The sequence below is a fragment of the Homo sapiens genome, chromosome 7, assembly GCF_000001405.40.
Source record: "Homo sapiens chromosome 7, GRCh38.p14 Primary Assembly".
Lineage (NCBI taxonomy): Eukaryota > Metazoa > Chordata > Mammalia > Primates > Hominidae > Homo > Homo sapiens.
The window spans coordinates 81,753,506-81,770,898 of NC_000007.14; the positions used below are offsets into that span (position 1 = coordinate 81,753,506).

At 35.7% G+C, this 17,393-nt stretch overlaps 1 protein-coding gene across 6 annotated transcripts in view; it reads right to left on the bottom strand.

Annotated features, from left to right (window-relative positions):
* The window catches only part of HGF (hepatocyte growth factor), a 71,038-nt gene extending 54,496 nt beyond the window's left edge, over positions 1-16,542 (bottom strand). For all 6 annotated transcript variants that reach the window (NM_001010932.3, NM_000601.6, XM_047420293.1 and 3 more), the window contains exons 1-4: positions 16,379-16,542; positions 9,202-9,367; positions 5,187-5,299; positions 3,684-3,798 (exon numbers count right to left, since the gene is read on the bottom strand). In NM_001010932.3, coding sequence (NP_001010932.1) covers positions 3,684-3,798; positions 5,187-5,299; positions 9,202-9,367; positions 16,379-16,466 — 482 coding nt within the window. In that variant the 5' untranslated portion in view covers positions 16,467-16,542. The remainder of the gene's footprint in view (positions 1-3,683; positions 3,799-5,186; positions 5,300-9,201; positions 9,368-16,378) is intronic.

The window sequence follows — 17,393 nt, forward strand, 5'->3', positions numbered from 1 at the left end:
GAAACTTCTAATAAACCATCATTTTTCATGTTGTGACACAAAACAAATACAGGTATGCGTCATGTACCAAGCAATATTTTGCAATGAAATTCTTTCATTTTGACATGAGTGTATTCTAGAGTTAAGTCTTCAGAAAATATAAATTATTGGACAAAACAAATAGTGTAAGAGACTTATTACTAACTAAACATTTTCAGGGAACCAGTGAAGTATTATCCATATTATGCAACTTCAATGCATCTAAGTAGTAATAGTTAATATCCATACTTAACTAGCATTCCTCATATGGGGAAATAGAAATAAGACAGGTTGTCAGACCGTATGACTGACAAAAATTATAATGCAACTAAAATTCAGCATAATTTCACAATTCCTAACAGTAAACTTTTTTAAAAAGTCATTTTTCTTACTTTTAGCTCCATCATTCCAGAATATTTTAATGCATCTTTTGTTTGGGCCATGGCTTACTCACTTTTCTGATAGAATCAAATGTGACTTTTGCTTTATATGTTTTCAAGAAGTCATGCACTAATCAAATTTATTTAAGCAAAGAATACTATAGCTCTCTTTTATGGAAAAGTTGATATGGTAGAGTGGTGAGAAGTTTATTTGTTAATCATAAAACCCATACGGTTGCCCCATATCTATCACCTAAATAGTATACAACCTTAGTCCTTAGACAATTTATTTACTCCCTGGGTTTTAATCTCTTCACTTAGATGAATAATACGAACTATAATTTCCCTTTTTCTATATCATTTTATATATTAAGATTATTTAAGAAACCTAGTAGTTATAGCAAATGTTCAATACACAAATACTCAATATTTATAGTTTGAGAGAGGATTTTTGTCCCCTCTACACATGCACACCGAAATACACAAAGTGATACACCCATATACCTTTCCAGTGGATTTGTAAAGCCAAAAAAAAGCTGTGAGGAAGTAGTGAATTAATAAGTCAACAATTTATTAGGACAAATACAGGTAGAAAGGAAGAGAGAATAATGTAGAAATCAAAAGTAGATATGGCCAAAACACGAATAAAATTCCCCCATTGGAGTTAATAAAATCAAAATGAAGAGAAAAGATGGGCTCCTTTCCACAATTCTGAATGCAATTCATATCAAAAACCTCTCTAGGACATGAAGGTTAAAGAGCAGTCTGGGTCATCTCTTTTCTTCATTCTGTGGTGTATTTTATCTTTTACCTAAATTAACTGTTTTTTTTTGTTAGTGTCCCAATGTATTTCCCCTGCTTTTCTTTAGCACCCCATATTTGACCAAGGGATGAAGCCTAGCCATGCTCTTTCACTTATGTGTGTTCATTCAACAAGTGTTTATGAGAACCCATTACACACAAAGCATGTGCCAGTCAGCAGATTCTGTAATAAGCATTTATTCATATATACACTATTTTTGGTTCTCTGTCCTTGCTGTTGGCAAGGCTTTAAGAGAGACAAGTGAGGAAATGTTTAAAATTGGGTTACATCCAAATATACTTTGAAATATAAACTAGGTCTTCTAGGTGCTAGGCTCCCTTTGTTTTCTTTTAATATTCACTGTGTTCCTAGGAAACTTGATCTATTCCATCATCTGATTCATTAATGAATGCTGGGTGGCCAATGAAGGATACAGATGTAGATATCAGGTCACCTGATTTTCTAGTTAAGCTTCTACATTAATTTCATCATCTTTCATCATCTTTCCATTAAGCCACTAGTAAAATATTTCAATTTAGGGGTCAACAATAAATCATTCCTCCAGACAGAAACATATTTCTTTTTCTATTTTCTGTAAAATTAATCTTTAGTCAACACTTAAAAGTGTTAAACCATCATGCAGATATTCCAATAAGCTGCTAATTGATGAAAATTATGTGTTTCCCTCATTGAATACAAAAAGGGATTTTATTAATATACTGGATCCTCTCGGCCATAAACATCTATATCACAAGGAAGTGTTCATTGGTAAAAGAGCTGATTGGACTAGGAAGCCAGTTCCCAGAGAGATCTATTTCACAATTACTCCTCCAGCAGAGAATCACGATCATAGAAAACTCAGGGTGAAATAAGACCTCTACTAGGTTAATCTAATGCATTCTCCTGGACTAGGGTAGGATTGATTTCAAATGTCATTCCTTTGTTCATGAAAAACTTAGATCCATCTACTTAAATAAAATGTTTTCTTCACTATGCAGGGAGTAACACCATGCAAACTCTCAAAAGAGGACAAAACCAATTATAATTTTTGTTTTTGTAATATAAGGAAAATACTGTGTTTTAGAGGCATTTCTACATAATTGTAAGTAACTAATTTTGAAAATTGTTGTTTTCTGTTATTGAAATGTTGTAGAGATGATCAGCTTGGACACTTACTAGCTAGTGTTAATTAGGCCAAGATCATAGGTTTAATCCCAGTGTGGAGCAACAAACTCTTTTTCTTTCTGTGTTGGTCAATAACTCATCTCTGTTTCCTAATGAAGAATCATCTTGCAGAATTGTGTCCCCAAAATGGAATAGAATAAAAAGTGGATTCAACAAGGCAGTCATCACCACCACTGCAAAAACAAATCACAGCATGGGTTCTACTGACCGGCCAAATGTGTCATGCCCTGAAGTTGTTAAAAGCGCAGGTTATAGAGTGATGGTGACTGGGCTTATATTCTGGCCATGTCACTTCCTAGTTGTGCATGACACTGAAAACTTACTAAGTGTTTTTATGCTTCAGTTTTGTCATGTAGGTAAAATAGAACCAATAAAACTACCCGCTGTGTGGTTCTCATTACAAGTAAATGAGATTAACAAGGTACAGTGCTCAGCAAGGTACATGGTAAAGTAAACCCTCCAATGCATTACTAATAAGGGGAGAGCTGTTTTAAACTACTTTGGTTTCTGATAAAATTGTGTGTGAAATAAGCCTTGACTAATACTCCAGTCAGTATTAGATATCTATGTTTTTCCTCAGTGATGATTAAAACTCTCAGTCTGACGAGCCTAAGTATATTGTGTTTACTCATCTTTAAATAGTACCCATCTGTCGTAATGAACACATTTATCCAATTTGGTCTTTAGGCGATAGGTGAGATGGAAAAGCTGGTCAATCTGAAGCTTGAGCTTTTAGCAGTGGTTCTCAAATTTGGCTGCACTTTGGAATCATGGTGGGAGCTCAAAAAATACTGGTGCCCTATTCTCCCCAGAGATTCTGATTTAATTGTTCTGTGTTGTCATCTTCTAAGTAAGATTCGTCAAGGGCTTGCAGCAGGTGATTTTAATGTGCAACCAATGTTGAGATCCACCAAGGTTAAAGAACCCTCAGCCCTCAGTAAGATTCTCATCTACCTCTGATTTTTCACAATCAACCTCTCCCCCTGCACAGTGCCGTACTTTCTCAAAGACAGGAAGAAGAATCCTTTTAAACGAAGTTTACGTTATTATTTCACAAATACCGAGATCTACAAATTGAGGCATTAAGGTAAGATATTGTTTTGGCTACATTTTATTAACATATTAATTAATCATTTGCTAAATATCAGTCATGAATTCATATAAACCTTGCCGTAATACAATTCAGCAAGTTGGCTAAGTTATTTTAGGATTGTAGAATTATTCTGAAGGACTAATATGAGACTGTTAACATGTAAAAAAGACAGAGGCTTCATCTCTTTTCTTCATACTGTTCTTACCTGTGTTCGTGTGGTATCATGGAACTCCAGGGCTGACATTTGATGCCACTCTTAGTGATAGATACTGTTCCCTTGTAGCTGCGTCCTTTACCAATGATGCAGTTTCTAATGTAGTCTATTGAAGAAAGTAGATAAAATTATTGCAACTATGCAAAACATATGCAGTATTTAAGAAAAAAATTCCGTTCAAACCTGTAAGTAATTAACTCTTGTAAACTATTTCAAATAACATTGAAATTTCTTGCCTAAAGCTTCTACTAGTATTTTCAAAATAACACATTTCTGAATAATCCAAAACAAACAGATGATTGAGAAGTTTTAATTTTGTGTATATATGCATAGATAGCTCCAGAGAGCAGTCGCTGTACTTAACATAGTCTGTATACTCAGCTAGCCAAGCAATTATGATTTGCTCAAATATATAGACCATTTTAAGAAAATATTAAAAACAAAAATTAAATGATTTTTAAAACCTATATTGAATTCAAAAAGTTACCTAAGATAATTAATTTGTCCTTCTTAGTAAAATTGTGTGGATTTTTGTTTATATATGCATATGCATGAGGTAGCTTGCTTATTAGTTTCCATATTTTTGCAAACATTTCCACTGCTGATAGGACAACCAAATTGTAATAACCTATATATTCCTACCAAATAATAGTACATGCAGTTGTTAGCAAGCTAGAAGACAGTTTGAAGTAAGAATGGTGTTATACTAGATCATGAATTATGTTCAAGATTTGTAGTATTATTGAGGTGTATAAAGATTAACTTACTTCTACCATAAATTTATTTTTAATTTTATTTAAACATTTACCCTATTAACTTGAAAACATCTATATATTGTACCAGGTTATGTATCTGAATTTAATAGGACATGGTTGTTTAACATTCTTCAATTATTTCATTTACTTGATTCTGCTTTTGAACAAAGTAAATACCTAGTGAACATAATATCAGACCACCAGAATAGGCAATCAGCAAATAATATGGTCTCAATTCCTCCTTTAAATATTTTTTTCAAGTATATGATGAAACATAGTCCCAACTCATTTCTCCAAAATCTCCATATTTTGTTATCATCAGTAATCATCACTATAATTTAGTTATCCAACATTGTTAAATGCAAAATACTATAGCAAACTCAGAATTTGCTGTAATATAAAGTGTTTTAAACTTTATAATGAAAGAAAGTAGCACTTTCTAAAATGAACATGGAGAATGCCAGTTCTAGGAGATGCTCCAAAAAAATAAAAATAAAAATAAACAGAGGGAGGAAGGGAATCAAGATTATGAAAAGTTTTGAAAATGTTCTCCTTAAAGTACCATACTAAAAATAGTCAAGATACTAGTTTCAACTGTCTTAATGGATGAATTGACTACATAAAATATCTCATATATAGTAGAAAAATCAGTGAGAAAGACCACTCTGGCAGGAAATTACAAACATACATTTCATTATACTTTATTTCATTATGCAATATTTAGGGAGAAGTCAGTTACCTTTGTTTTCATAGAGGTCAAATTCATGGCCAAATTCTTTTTTCACTCCACTTGACATGCTATTGAAGGGGAACCAGAGGCATTGTTTTCTTGCTTTATCAAAAACAAAAGCCCTGAAAAAAATATCAGAATGAAAAGAAGAAATACTACTATTTATACAGTATTTAAAGAATGGGCATATGGTTCATCTTGTCCATGGGCATATGGACAATATAGAAACAAATGCATAATTACATATACATAATAAAAATATGAGTAAAATTTGAACCTACCATTTTGATAGCCAAACAAGAAAGAACAAAATTAAGTTTTTGTAGGAGTAGATTTAAATATCAGATTGAATACTCTTTGGAATATTCTCATGTTATTCCAAAAGGCTTGTAGAAAAATAACAGTTTTAACATGCAAAATCAATATGTAACACAACTATTTAAATTATTTCTGAAGGCTTTATTTTTCTGTAACTTCACAGAAAGTTGGAATATTTTTATCCACACTTGTACAAAATGGTATTATATTTGAGATATTTAAGCTATCTCAATTATATCTGAGATATCAGGAGTAATTTACAAAGTGTATAACTGTAAAAAATATATTCTAAAATGACATTTTCTAAGGTGCATTAGATATATCAATGCGCTAGGGATTCTCCTAAAAAGTGGGATCTGAAACCAAGTGTTTGGAAATTTTTGCATATAATGTAATTTTTTGGTGAATTATAAAACATTGCAGTTTATTAAAAGCTATGAAAATCTTGTTGAGGATAACTATTTAAGCTAATATTTCCTAAACAGGTTTGCTTATATAAGCATTTTTTGTTTTTTTGTTTTTGAGACAGAGTCTCACACTGTCGCCCAGGCTGGAGTGCAGTGGTGTGATCTCGGCTCACTGCAAGCTCCGCCTCCCGGGTTCACGCCATTCTCCTGCCTCAGCCTCCCGAGTAGCTGGGACTACAGGTGCCCACCACCACGCCTCGCTAATTTTTTGTATTTTTAGTAGAGACGGGGTTTCACCATGTTAGCCAGTATGGTCTTGATCTCCTGACCTCGTGATCTACCCGCCTCGGCCTCCCAAAGTGCTAAGCATTTTTAATTTAAAGAAAACTAGTAATATTAGAGAATATCTTTTTGACATAACATCTTAAAGAAAGTTATGAAGACATACCACCCCTACTATTCCTATAGCTAAGTATTATATTGGTTTTTTGTTATTGTTCACTAAAAGAACCTATTTATATAACAAAATGATAAATACGCAAAAAAATGATAAATTTGTTTTTAAGTGATTCCATCTGTAAAGTGGGTGACAGGATTTCCAGTTTGCTGATCTCATTCACTCTTTCTCTCGTTCCAATACAATGACAAATTCTTTAAGAAAAGTGTTTCTTATATTATTTTACACCTCCATATAAAGTGGGTGGAAGCCATCAAATTCCGTAAGTTGCATCTTCTTTTAGGTTTGACTTTTAGAGTCTTTATCTTAACATCGTTCTAGTTGTAATCTTTTCCACAGCTTATTTTGTCTATTTCCTATTTGTTGATGGCAGGAAGGCAATTCTAGTACCAGTTGCCAGCCATGGCTAAAAGAGGAAAGCTTCCTATCTTATTAAGTGAATTTATGAATGAGCTATTTCCTGAAGAGCTTAGAATCAGGCATTCTTGGTCATCTTTCCTACCCAGCAAAGAATAATTTGAATCTCTAGGAAATCAATATTGTTGATAACTTCTCAAGGAAAAACAATATTTAAGAATGTTCCACCTCACACTCATTCACGTCACAGATGGTTTCGCACACTTCTTTGGTATTTTATAAGTGGTTTACGGTATTTTTCATTGTTTTTAAATAATTATGTTTTATATAACATGTCTAGAAACAACATCCTTTGATTCATTAAGACCCTAAGTTCATAGTATCATAGTATGTTCATTCAATTCTATATAGCTAAGATATTTAATAATCCCAAATACATATGTGTGTCTATGTGCGTGCGTGTGTGTGTGTGTGTGTGTGTGTGTGTGTGTGTGTGTGTGTGAATGAGGAGGATTTTACCATTTCTGGGCCAAAAAATCTTGGCTCTAATACATAATATTACCTGTGGTTTTCTGCACAGGTTGCCATAAATTTGGAGAATAAATATAACTCAACCAAAATATGGTAGGAAAGTATGAAATCTCATATATATGGAATATGTGAGCACTTACTAATTTATTAATGTCTTCTCCAGTAAAATCATTTTAGTTCCTAGTAAATAGAACAAAAGGAAAGTTTTTCTTTCCTAAGTATACGGTTGACTAATGTGAAAATTGAATGGTAGCAATACTTTCCTTACTTGTGGGTCCAAGAGAGCTTATTTTCAAAGTTAAAAATCAGCAATGAGGTGTCCTCTCCTTCCCTTTTCCCTGCCCTTCCAGCCCTGAGAGGGGAAAATACAACTCTATCCTCCTCAACTGCTGGAACATCTCCATGAATCTACACAGCTGAGATGTTGATTGAGAGTAGTTGTCTCTATTTCTAACAATAGCAAGGCTTTTATAGGAAAGTCAGGGAATAAAACAGAATTATCATAGGAATATACTTGCAAAGTCAATTCCCACTCCTCTTGCCAGGAACTATCTCCCGGAAATTGGCAGTTTCACTCTAGAAATGGAAAGCAGACAGTCTTTCCTCAACCTAAACCTGATAAAGATCTTTTCTGACCATGCTCTTCCTCTCAGGCCCATAACATTTATTTCTCTGAAAAAGGCAAGATGAAATTAGGACCACTTGCCATGACATTACTAAACCCTGTGGTCACATTATGGGTCACTACCTAAATGTAATTGAGTAGAATTTAATATGTACAGGATTTTATGCATGACCCTGTTAAAAAAAAAAAAAAGATAAAATAGGGAGTGAAAGAGTGGGAAATAAGTGAGGTAAGATAATGAAGAACTAAAAAAATGTGTCTTCTTCTGACAGTTTAGGAGACGATTCGAATGAAATTGTCACCCTCTTAGCCCAAAACAAAGAGTTTTATCTTCTGGGATCACTGGCAAAGTAATAAGGCATCAGTTCCCAACCTTTTTGGCACCAGGGACTGGTTTATTTTTCCAAGGGTGTGGAGTGGGGGTGGGGGTGGGCCGGGGAGCGGGGAATGGTTTTGGGATGAAACTGTTCCACTTCAGATCATCAGGCACTAGATTCTCATAAGGAGCGCACACCCTAGATCCCACTCATGTGCAGTTAACAATGGGGTTCAGCTCCTATGAGAATCTAATGTGGCAGATCCAACAGGAGGTGGAGCTCAGGCAGTAATGCTCACTGGCCTGCAGCTCACTCCCGCTGTGAGGCCTGTTTCTTAACAGGCCACAGACTAGTGGCAGGGGTAGGGGGTTAAGGACCCCTGTAGTAAGGAATTCTTCCCTATGAGGTCACACAGGGACTGTCAAAAGACATGAAACTCTCCATTTAAGTCCCCTCATGCCTCTTTAAATTGCCCCATCAATTTTCACCTGAAACTTTACCATTGCTATCCTCTTCTTTTAAACAGTCTCTGCTGACACCAGTCTCTCTAATTTTTAAACTAATTCTCTCAACACCTTTTATTTAAATCCCTAAATGCAATGATATAATAAAGATGAAGTAAATTTTGGCTGCTGCCCAAATTCTGTTCTAAAAATTCCTCCATTCCTCTTGCAAGGAAAAAAAAAGTTACTCTGAATAGATATTTTAAAACCCAAAGCCAATTGAATTTCATTTTAGTTACTCAAATTCAATTGCTCATCAGATGAGAAAACAAATTCCATAACCAAAGCCACTGTGGATTTTAGAAGGTAGCAGTTTTTGCGCTCTCCCTTACTCAAGCTATGTTTCCATAAACTGAGAGCTAAGTCTTCGTTTGTAGTGAGTTAAATCTAGAGTCAAACTTACAATTTTATGATCAAATCACATTGACTACAACACAAAAGACACATGATTATAATACATGCATGCTATATTTGGAAAATTATTCTAAGAAGAAAATGAAGTAACTTACTTGCAAGTGAATGGAAGTCCTTTATTCCTAGTACATCTATTAGCACATTGGTCTGCAGTATTCACTTTTTTGGTTTTTATCTTCAGTGCTGGATCTATTTTGATTAGGGTAGTCTTTGCTGATTTTTTGAATTCATGAATTGTATTTCTTCTTTTCCTTTGTCCCTCTATTAAATACAAAATGTTTTAAAAAAATAAACATTGGAGAAATGTTTTTAAGGCTCATATATAAAAAAAATCCTAAGGATCATCTACAAGAAAGTGATTTTACTTGACAATATACTAGATTTCCAGGGGTTAGGAGCAGAGTGAGGTAGGGAATAGTTAAGAGAAAGAGAGGAATATTGTAATCAAGGAAAAACAAATAACTTGTCATGTAGAGTCACTCATTTACATTCTTTCAAATTAAGGAGCTTTTAAAAATCAGGACAGAGTTCACACTAAAGAAATAAATAACATGATATTTTCCAAACATCATGAAAGGAAATATCAGTGCTAGAAGCATATCATATCATGCTTTATAATTAAACTTTTCATTTCCTTCTACAATTGGTCCTCATATACGTTATAGTATTTAATGAGATAAGCCAACACAAAGACAGGCGAGAAACGTCTCACTAAAAACTGTACAGTGGACAAATTCTTCTGACCTACTCTTTAAAGTCTTTCATGTTATTCATATTTTAGCCCCTCTCTCCTCCTTTAGTGCATAAATGTTTTCTGTGCTTTTGGACACTATTTCTTGGTATCACCGAACTATTTGTCTTGAGATCAAGCCAAATGCTGTAAATCAAATGTATGTAAAACTTCATCCTTTAATGCAGCAATATCATTTTTCTTCATGAAAATACAAGGCGCCTAGATAGCATGAAGCCTTCTACTGAAAATCTGAAAAACAGAACTAAAACATTCTAAAAGACCTAATCTTATGGATAACTTTAGTGTTTCAAAAACTTGTTCTCTGTATTCTCAATTTGCCCAAAATAGCCCCAATCTGTTAGTGATCAGCATCTTCACAATGCAGATCAAAATGTTTAATAGAGTGCAGCTATTGTGTAATAAGGATAGATGTGCTTGTGCCCCTCTGCCTGTCAATTCTTTTCAAACATGCTTATACCAAAGGCAGTAAGGATACATTCATTTTTCAGCCAAAGAAACCAAGACATAGAAAAAAATTAATTGACCACTTAGAAGATCTCAGATTGGAAACCCAGCAGGCTGACTTAAAAACCACCACTCTGAACCACTGACCATGCCATCTGTAGCTAAGAATGGCTAAGATTGTAGTGGAAATATGGCATGTAACACTTTCCTGAAAATTTGGTTTAGAGCTAGCAGTAGAGAAGAAATGTGGATAGTAGAGCAGGAAATACATTCCTGATCTGAATCTGTGTTGAAATGTGTCAAAAAAGGAGAGTAAAAATTTGTGTGCACAAAATTTGGAAATACAACTAGCAGAGTGAGGTACCAAAAATGCCATCATACTCTAAGTTTGTCAGCAACCACTGGCTCCAGTTGGTTTATGAGATGAGCAGATGCTACTAATTAGTGTCCATCCTAATTTGAAGGCTGCAATAAATTAGAGAAAACACGAGGTCCTCTAAATTTCTGAATCTCTGTAAAACTCCAAAGCACAATCTCCAAAAGACAATACTAATTCCTGCAATGATGCTTTCATTTTTAATTTTGCTTTGCCTTACAGGATAGAATGGCTATGGTACAACAGATACAGTTTAAAAGACATTTTAACATGAAAATGAAATCAACCAAAAATCTGTCAACATGTTATTTATTGAGCATGGACCAAATGCCTTGTACAACACTGGCAATCTTATTGACTTGTCAAATGACTTTTTAATTACCTGAAATGTTAACATCCCAATTTCTCAATCTAAAATATAAAAGTTATGTTAACATTAAACTGTAACCATTAAGTAAATATTTGAAAATCAATTTGGATTTTTAAAAATGTTATAAATACGCAAAGTTTTAGTTTTGTTTTTGAAATTTTATCCTTTAATCTCTGGCATGAAGAAGAAACTGTGATTCTTCCAAGCAAAGAAGGCATAATTCATTTCAAATTTTGATTTCTGTCACAGAACCATGTTAATAGGAGATAAGTTTTTCCATTAAGAGTTTCTCTTTCCTTTGACCTTATTACACTATTTCTAAGGTGCTTTGAAATGCTTCATAGCATAATAGTTTTATAATTTCCTGTATAAATTTGAATGTTTCTTAGAAATAAATGATAGTTAATTGATGAAAAAAATCTATGAAACAACTATTCACCAAAATAGAAGAGTTTTATACACGTATTTCTTAAATATGTGTATAATTATATTAACTAAAAATATAAAATTGAAGTTGGCCTGATATATAATCTATTTAGTATACATGTCTAAGTGTGAGGGAAAAGCCTAAAAATCAAAAAGTCTAAGACAAATATTAAATGTGTAATGTATTTTAATGTATCAAATGAAACAAAATCTCTGGTCAATGCTCTGGTTTCTTTTCTCAATGCCACGCAAAATGAAGGCAAGCCATGAAGAAGATTCTGGAGAGCAGAGGTCTCCGTGGAATTTTTGATTGTATTTAATTCTAAATCTCCTCAATTGTCCTACTGAAATGTGTTAATGTTTTGTTGTACCTCACAAAAACAGTCTACCCTTGCTTGCTGACAAATTTTCCAATCACTACCTTTCATCTAAAGATCGAAAAGCATTTTGAAAAACAAATAAATCTATTATTTCCCTTTACTAGATAACAAATAGAAATGAAAAGCTTGTCTGGGGCTACAAAGCTATCAGGGGCAATCAGAACCAGACACCAGAATTCTCTTCTCACTATTTTGTTCTCATGACATAGAAACTTTCCCTTTTAATTAAGTCATTTATACTAAGCCAGTAACTAATTACTCAAAAATATGAAGTTGGAGCTAATTGTACATCATGTAATCCACACATCTATAAAATTAATTCCTTATACAATAAAAGAAAAATTCAAAACAGAAGTCATTCAAAAACAGCATCTGAAAATAAAATTCCTTTGCTGAAAATAGTTTCAACTTTCTCCTCCATATGTATTAACAACTGATGCTTGTTTTACTGAAAACAGTTAAAAGCCAAGCTTAATTTGGGAAGAAACTCAAAAATATCTTTGGATCAGATTTTTCCCTACTATTTTTTGTGCGTGACTGTTAGCTGAAGTTTATAAACAAAATATTGAAATGAAATCAAAGGGTGAGAGATCACTACAAATTTGTCATGCTTTCCTGTGCTTTAAATTACAACTCCTTTTTCCTCTTCTCCCAGTATGGGAAAACATTCTGGAAGCTATATTTCCTGAAGAACCTGAAGTCCCTGTTTTAGAGCTGAAATCATTAGGATCCTAGTGAAAACCTACACACAGAAAGTAGGGTCAAATGTATCAAGGTGCTTGAAGAAAGACACATTTCTCCCTCTGGTCCCGGCACCTCACACTCATTTCTCTCAGTACCTCATATATTTTCTTCTCTGTGTGGACTAACCATTGACTTCAAAGGAAAATCATGCAAGGAAAGGATTTGCAGGGTGTGGAAAGAAGCAGGAATCTGGCTCCACATATTCTGAGAAACCTATCCACATGATTAGTGATGAAGAGATTCAAGTGGCAAGATGTTAAGATGAAAGTACACAAATAATTAATGGAAGGGAATGGTTGAGACTGGAGATTGTAAACTCTCCAAAGCCAAGAATTTCAAATAGAAGTCTAAATTTTCGTTGTTATTATCTAAGACATGGATTTTTGCAAATCGGCAGTCATCTCCCTTTCTTTAGAGAAGGCAACAATATCACAAATAAAGATACCAAGAAGACAGAGACTGTGTCAGATGTAAATCAAATGCTGATATTTGAGAAGCTGCAGCATCATCTCTTCCAAGGGGATTTACAAAATGAAGTGATGTTCAGTGTGATTTGAGGGGCCTCCCTAGGTATTTTCTTCCTTCTCCTTTCCAGTTCTTATTTAAGGTTTCATTCTTCTAGAAGCCTCATCCTGGCCTCCACCTTCACTGTCTGTTTCTGCCTACAACTTTCCTTCCACACAGGAACTGAAGCAACCACACTGAAGAACAACTTCAATCAAGTACATTTTCAACAAAAAAACTTTCAGCTGCTCGCATGACATTCATTTTAAAGACCACATGGTTGAGCATGACCTTCAATCCTATCCATTCTACCTCATCTTACTTTTCCACTCACAGACAATATTCCCCATCACATGCCCAATACTTCTGCCTCAAATGCTTGCCTTCAGTTGCTGTGTGGGGTCCTTCCTGGGACATTCCTTATACTTACGAACCTCTGTACCTTGGGCCACTTGTGATCCTGTGCTAAGATACTGACTATTCTACCATCCATCTTTTCATATGGACTTCAGTACCATATAACCCCTTCACCTGGTTTGATTCTCTATGCTGAAAATGAACTCTCAACCATAGTACAAAGTATTTCTAACAGGGTTTTTTGAAAATATATCACTTGGCCAAATGATTTTTTTTAAGTAAATTTCAGTTGATTTCACTGCTGCTCGCTTCAATATAAATGAAAAAAGAAAAAAAAAAAACACCACATAGTTCATTCACATACATTTGGGTAGAAATCTCAGCTCTGTCCCTTAACTCACAAAGAAATAAGATAACTGAGGTCTTTGAACCGGCTAAATGAGTCCAATAGTGCCAATCTTATTAGAATTAAGTGAGATGTACTTTACTACTTGGTTCATATCAGTTGCTCAACAAATTTAAGTTCCTTTCTTATTTGTTCATCTTTACATCCCCCACATACTCTTGAATATTAGGTGCTCATTTAATGCTTCTTTTATTACAGAGGATTGGATATTTGTTTCCCATGTAGGTGGGAGTGAATAGAGGGTAATTCTATATAGGCTAACTCCTACAAAGATGGCGGGGGCCCATTATATTGAATATTTCTTAAGCTTTTAAAAAAGTATCTCCATAGTGTATTCTGTTGATAACTGGTTGTCAACTTACAGTATATACTTCTTTCCTAACAATGTGTTATTTTACAATACATACAAATATAAATTCATAGAATAAATAATTATAATCAAAGCTAGTAACAACAAAAGAAACCTCTAAATAGTCAATATTAAATGTCATTTAAAAAAGAACAAACTTTGTGTGTTCTAAGAGGCTACCCATATTTTTTATTTTAAAGGTTATTAAAAAAAACTATCAAACTGGCCATCTAAACAAAGGCGCACCCTCCTTTGATGACAATTTTAGAATTATCCACTTCAGGAATTATTCACAGCATATTTGTAATTCCCAACTGGACTCTCCTTGCCTGCCAGCACTCTTGGGCTGCATTCTGCCTGTACTCAGGAAACACAGTCATTTCTACATTAGGCAAAGTGAAATATAATTACAAATGTATGTCTCCTGCCAAAAGTTCATAATGCATGCCGAAAACAAATAGACACTGCCTACGGTTGATCTACTGTTTGGGTTTTCCACACTGCGTTCCCCTTGCGTTAGCACAGATGAATTCAGGTAACCAGATTCTACTTAAGAACAGTGACATTTTAATCTTTAAAAATGAAAACCCTCAAAATATTAGCCATTATTTCAATTTAAGCTCAAAATCCCCTAAACCAGCAGTCATCTGTGAAGCATTTTTTTCTTCTTCTTCTTGAGATGGAGTCTTGCTCCGTTCCCCAGGCTGAAGTGCGGTGACACAATCTCGGCTCACTGCAACCCCCACCTCCCAGGTTCAAGAGAGTCTCCTGCCTCAGCCTCCCAAGTAGGTGGGACTACAGGTGCCTGCCACCACGCCTGGCTAATTTTTTGTATTTTTAGTAGAGACAGGGTTTCACCTTGTTAGCTAGGATGGTCTCAATCTCCTGACCTCGTGATCTGCCCGCCTCGGCCTCCCAAAGTGCTGGGATTACAGGCGTGAGCCACCGCACCCGACCCTGTGAAGCGATTTTAACATGACACATGTCAAGCATGATAACCTGCTTGATTTGAACTCACTGCTTTTTCACTTCTTCAGAAATCTTACCTAAATGCTTTCAGAGTGACCCTTTCCAAACAGTGTCATTTTCCAAACGGGCCACTTCACAAAATAAAAGAAAACCAGGTGGGTTGAATGATTTTCCTTTGCATTTAGAAAATTCTTGAGTTTTTTAACCCTTGTACCATATCAAAAACTAGATCAAAGGTCTGATAAATGTCATATTTACCATCTCAAAAGATACAGCCAGTTCTCTTTTTTATATTGTAAAAAGGCCATGTCTCCATCTGGGCATTTGTTCCCACTCTTTTATTCCCCTGCGCCTACCCTTGATATTCACTGCCTTCTCCCGTTGGCACCTCAGCCTCTACAATGATACAACAAAATACAGATGTTTCCTCTTGCCCTGATAACAAGAGAAACTTCCCAGAGCAGCAAACGAGATCTCTAAATCTCCAAGCAATATGAACTTTCAAGCAACTCCTCCCCAAACGGCAAATCCAAGGGAGAAAGTGGGAGACAGAGATGGGCAGTTCTGCAGCTTTAATCAAAGTCTCCGTGCACTGCAGTTTCAAAGGGCAGGCATCCGTACCCAGAAAGAATAAGATCTTTAAAAAGAGGCTTTCTCTTTCATTTTTATGATATGCAAATACTCAGAGTTTATTCTGCCTCCTCAAAATGAAAACCTGTACAAAGTCGTAATTTGGCTCCAAATGTTGACTAGGTGATGTGGAGTAGTGCATTATCATGAAAAATTGTTCTCTGGAAAAGGATGACTTCCTGCCGGACTGACCATCACTCTTGCCTCTTCAGACCAGACCCTCTCTTTAGCTTTAAACTTGTCCAAAGCAGCCAAGTTCAGCCAGTATTAGCACTTCCTCCCTATCTCATAATCCACAACTATTAGGCTAAGTGGGACGGGGCTTGGGTTGGAGGTGGAGGGGAGTTGAGGGAAAGTTAATTATCATTTTAAATGCTATTCAAACAACAACAAAAAAGAATGTCAAAAAAAGCATAATGAGAGCTTTTAGAAACCTATACTACATACTGAGTTCAGAAAGGATGCTGGGAATAGGGTAAAAAGAGGGTGTTAAAAGGAATAGGGAAGGTTAGCAGGAGAGTTAAATACTAATACTAATAATGAAGAAGAAGAAGGGAACTAACCTGCATAGGGGATGGCGATGGGGAGCAGGAGGAGATGCAGGAGGACATGCTGCAGCAGCAGGGCTGGCAGGAGTTTGGTCACCCACATGGTGCTGCTGGACGGGCTGGCGGATCCCTCTGGAGGAGATGCCTGGGTGAAAGAATCCTGTTCGGAGTCAGTGCCTAAAAGAGCCAGTCGGCTCTGAGCTGCTTTTTATTGCGATGAGCTAAGTTTGTTGTGTGATTAACTGGAAAGATCTAGGTCTGAACTCCCTCTTACGGTAAGAAACTGTTTAACAACAGCCCTTTACTCTCTTCCAGCCCCCTCCTTTCCTCACTCGCCCCCCCTTCAACAGCACCAAACAGATCCCTGCAACCCCCCCCATTCCCCGCCTCCCCCCAACCCCACGCTTAGGAAAGAAACTTACAAAGAAAAGGTCACCTGGCCTGAGGCCAGCTTCAATTTGGAAGCTGGAGCTCCAGATCCCAGTGGCTCCTATCCGAGTAAGGAAGGGAGGAGCAAGGCTGAGCCCAATGGCTAAATCAAGGCACAGGCAGGGGACCAATTCGCTCAATTTAAACAGGAAAATACATGTGTTTATATATCTATTTGGGAAAAGAGGAAGGGGAAGCAGCATAAGAAGAAAGCGAAGAGCTGTCTTTCAGCCAAATGTGCCCCAGCTCCTAATCTGTCTAGTTTTCCTGCTAGAGCAACTGAGGGATTCAAAACACTGACACAGGTTCTCTAGGGGTTTAGAGACCTGGGAGAGGTGGGAGCGGGGCCAGGGAGGAGAGCCCAGGCACGTCCAGCCCAGGTAGAAAGAGGTTAGTTAAGAAAAGGGTGTGGTATTGTGGGGCCAAAATAAGCAAGCAAAACAAAAGCACGCAGATTGTCAGATGAAAAAATTGCCCCTGCCCCATGGGCTCAGAGCAGGCAGCTTTTTTTTTTTTTTTTTTTTTTTTTTTTTTTCACAAACTGCCAAACTCACGAAATACCACACATTTACCCAAAGTATACAAAATAAACTTGTCTGAT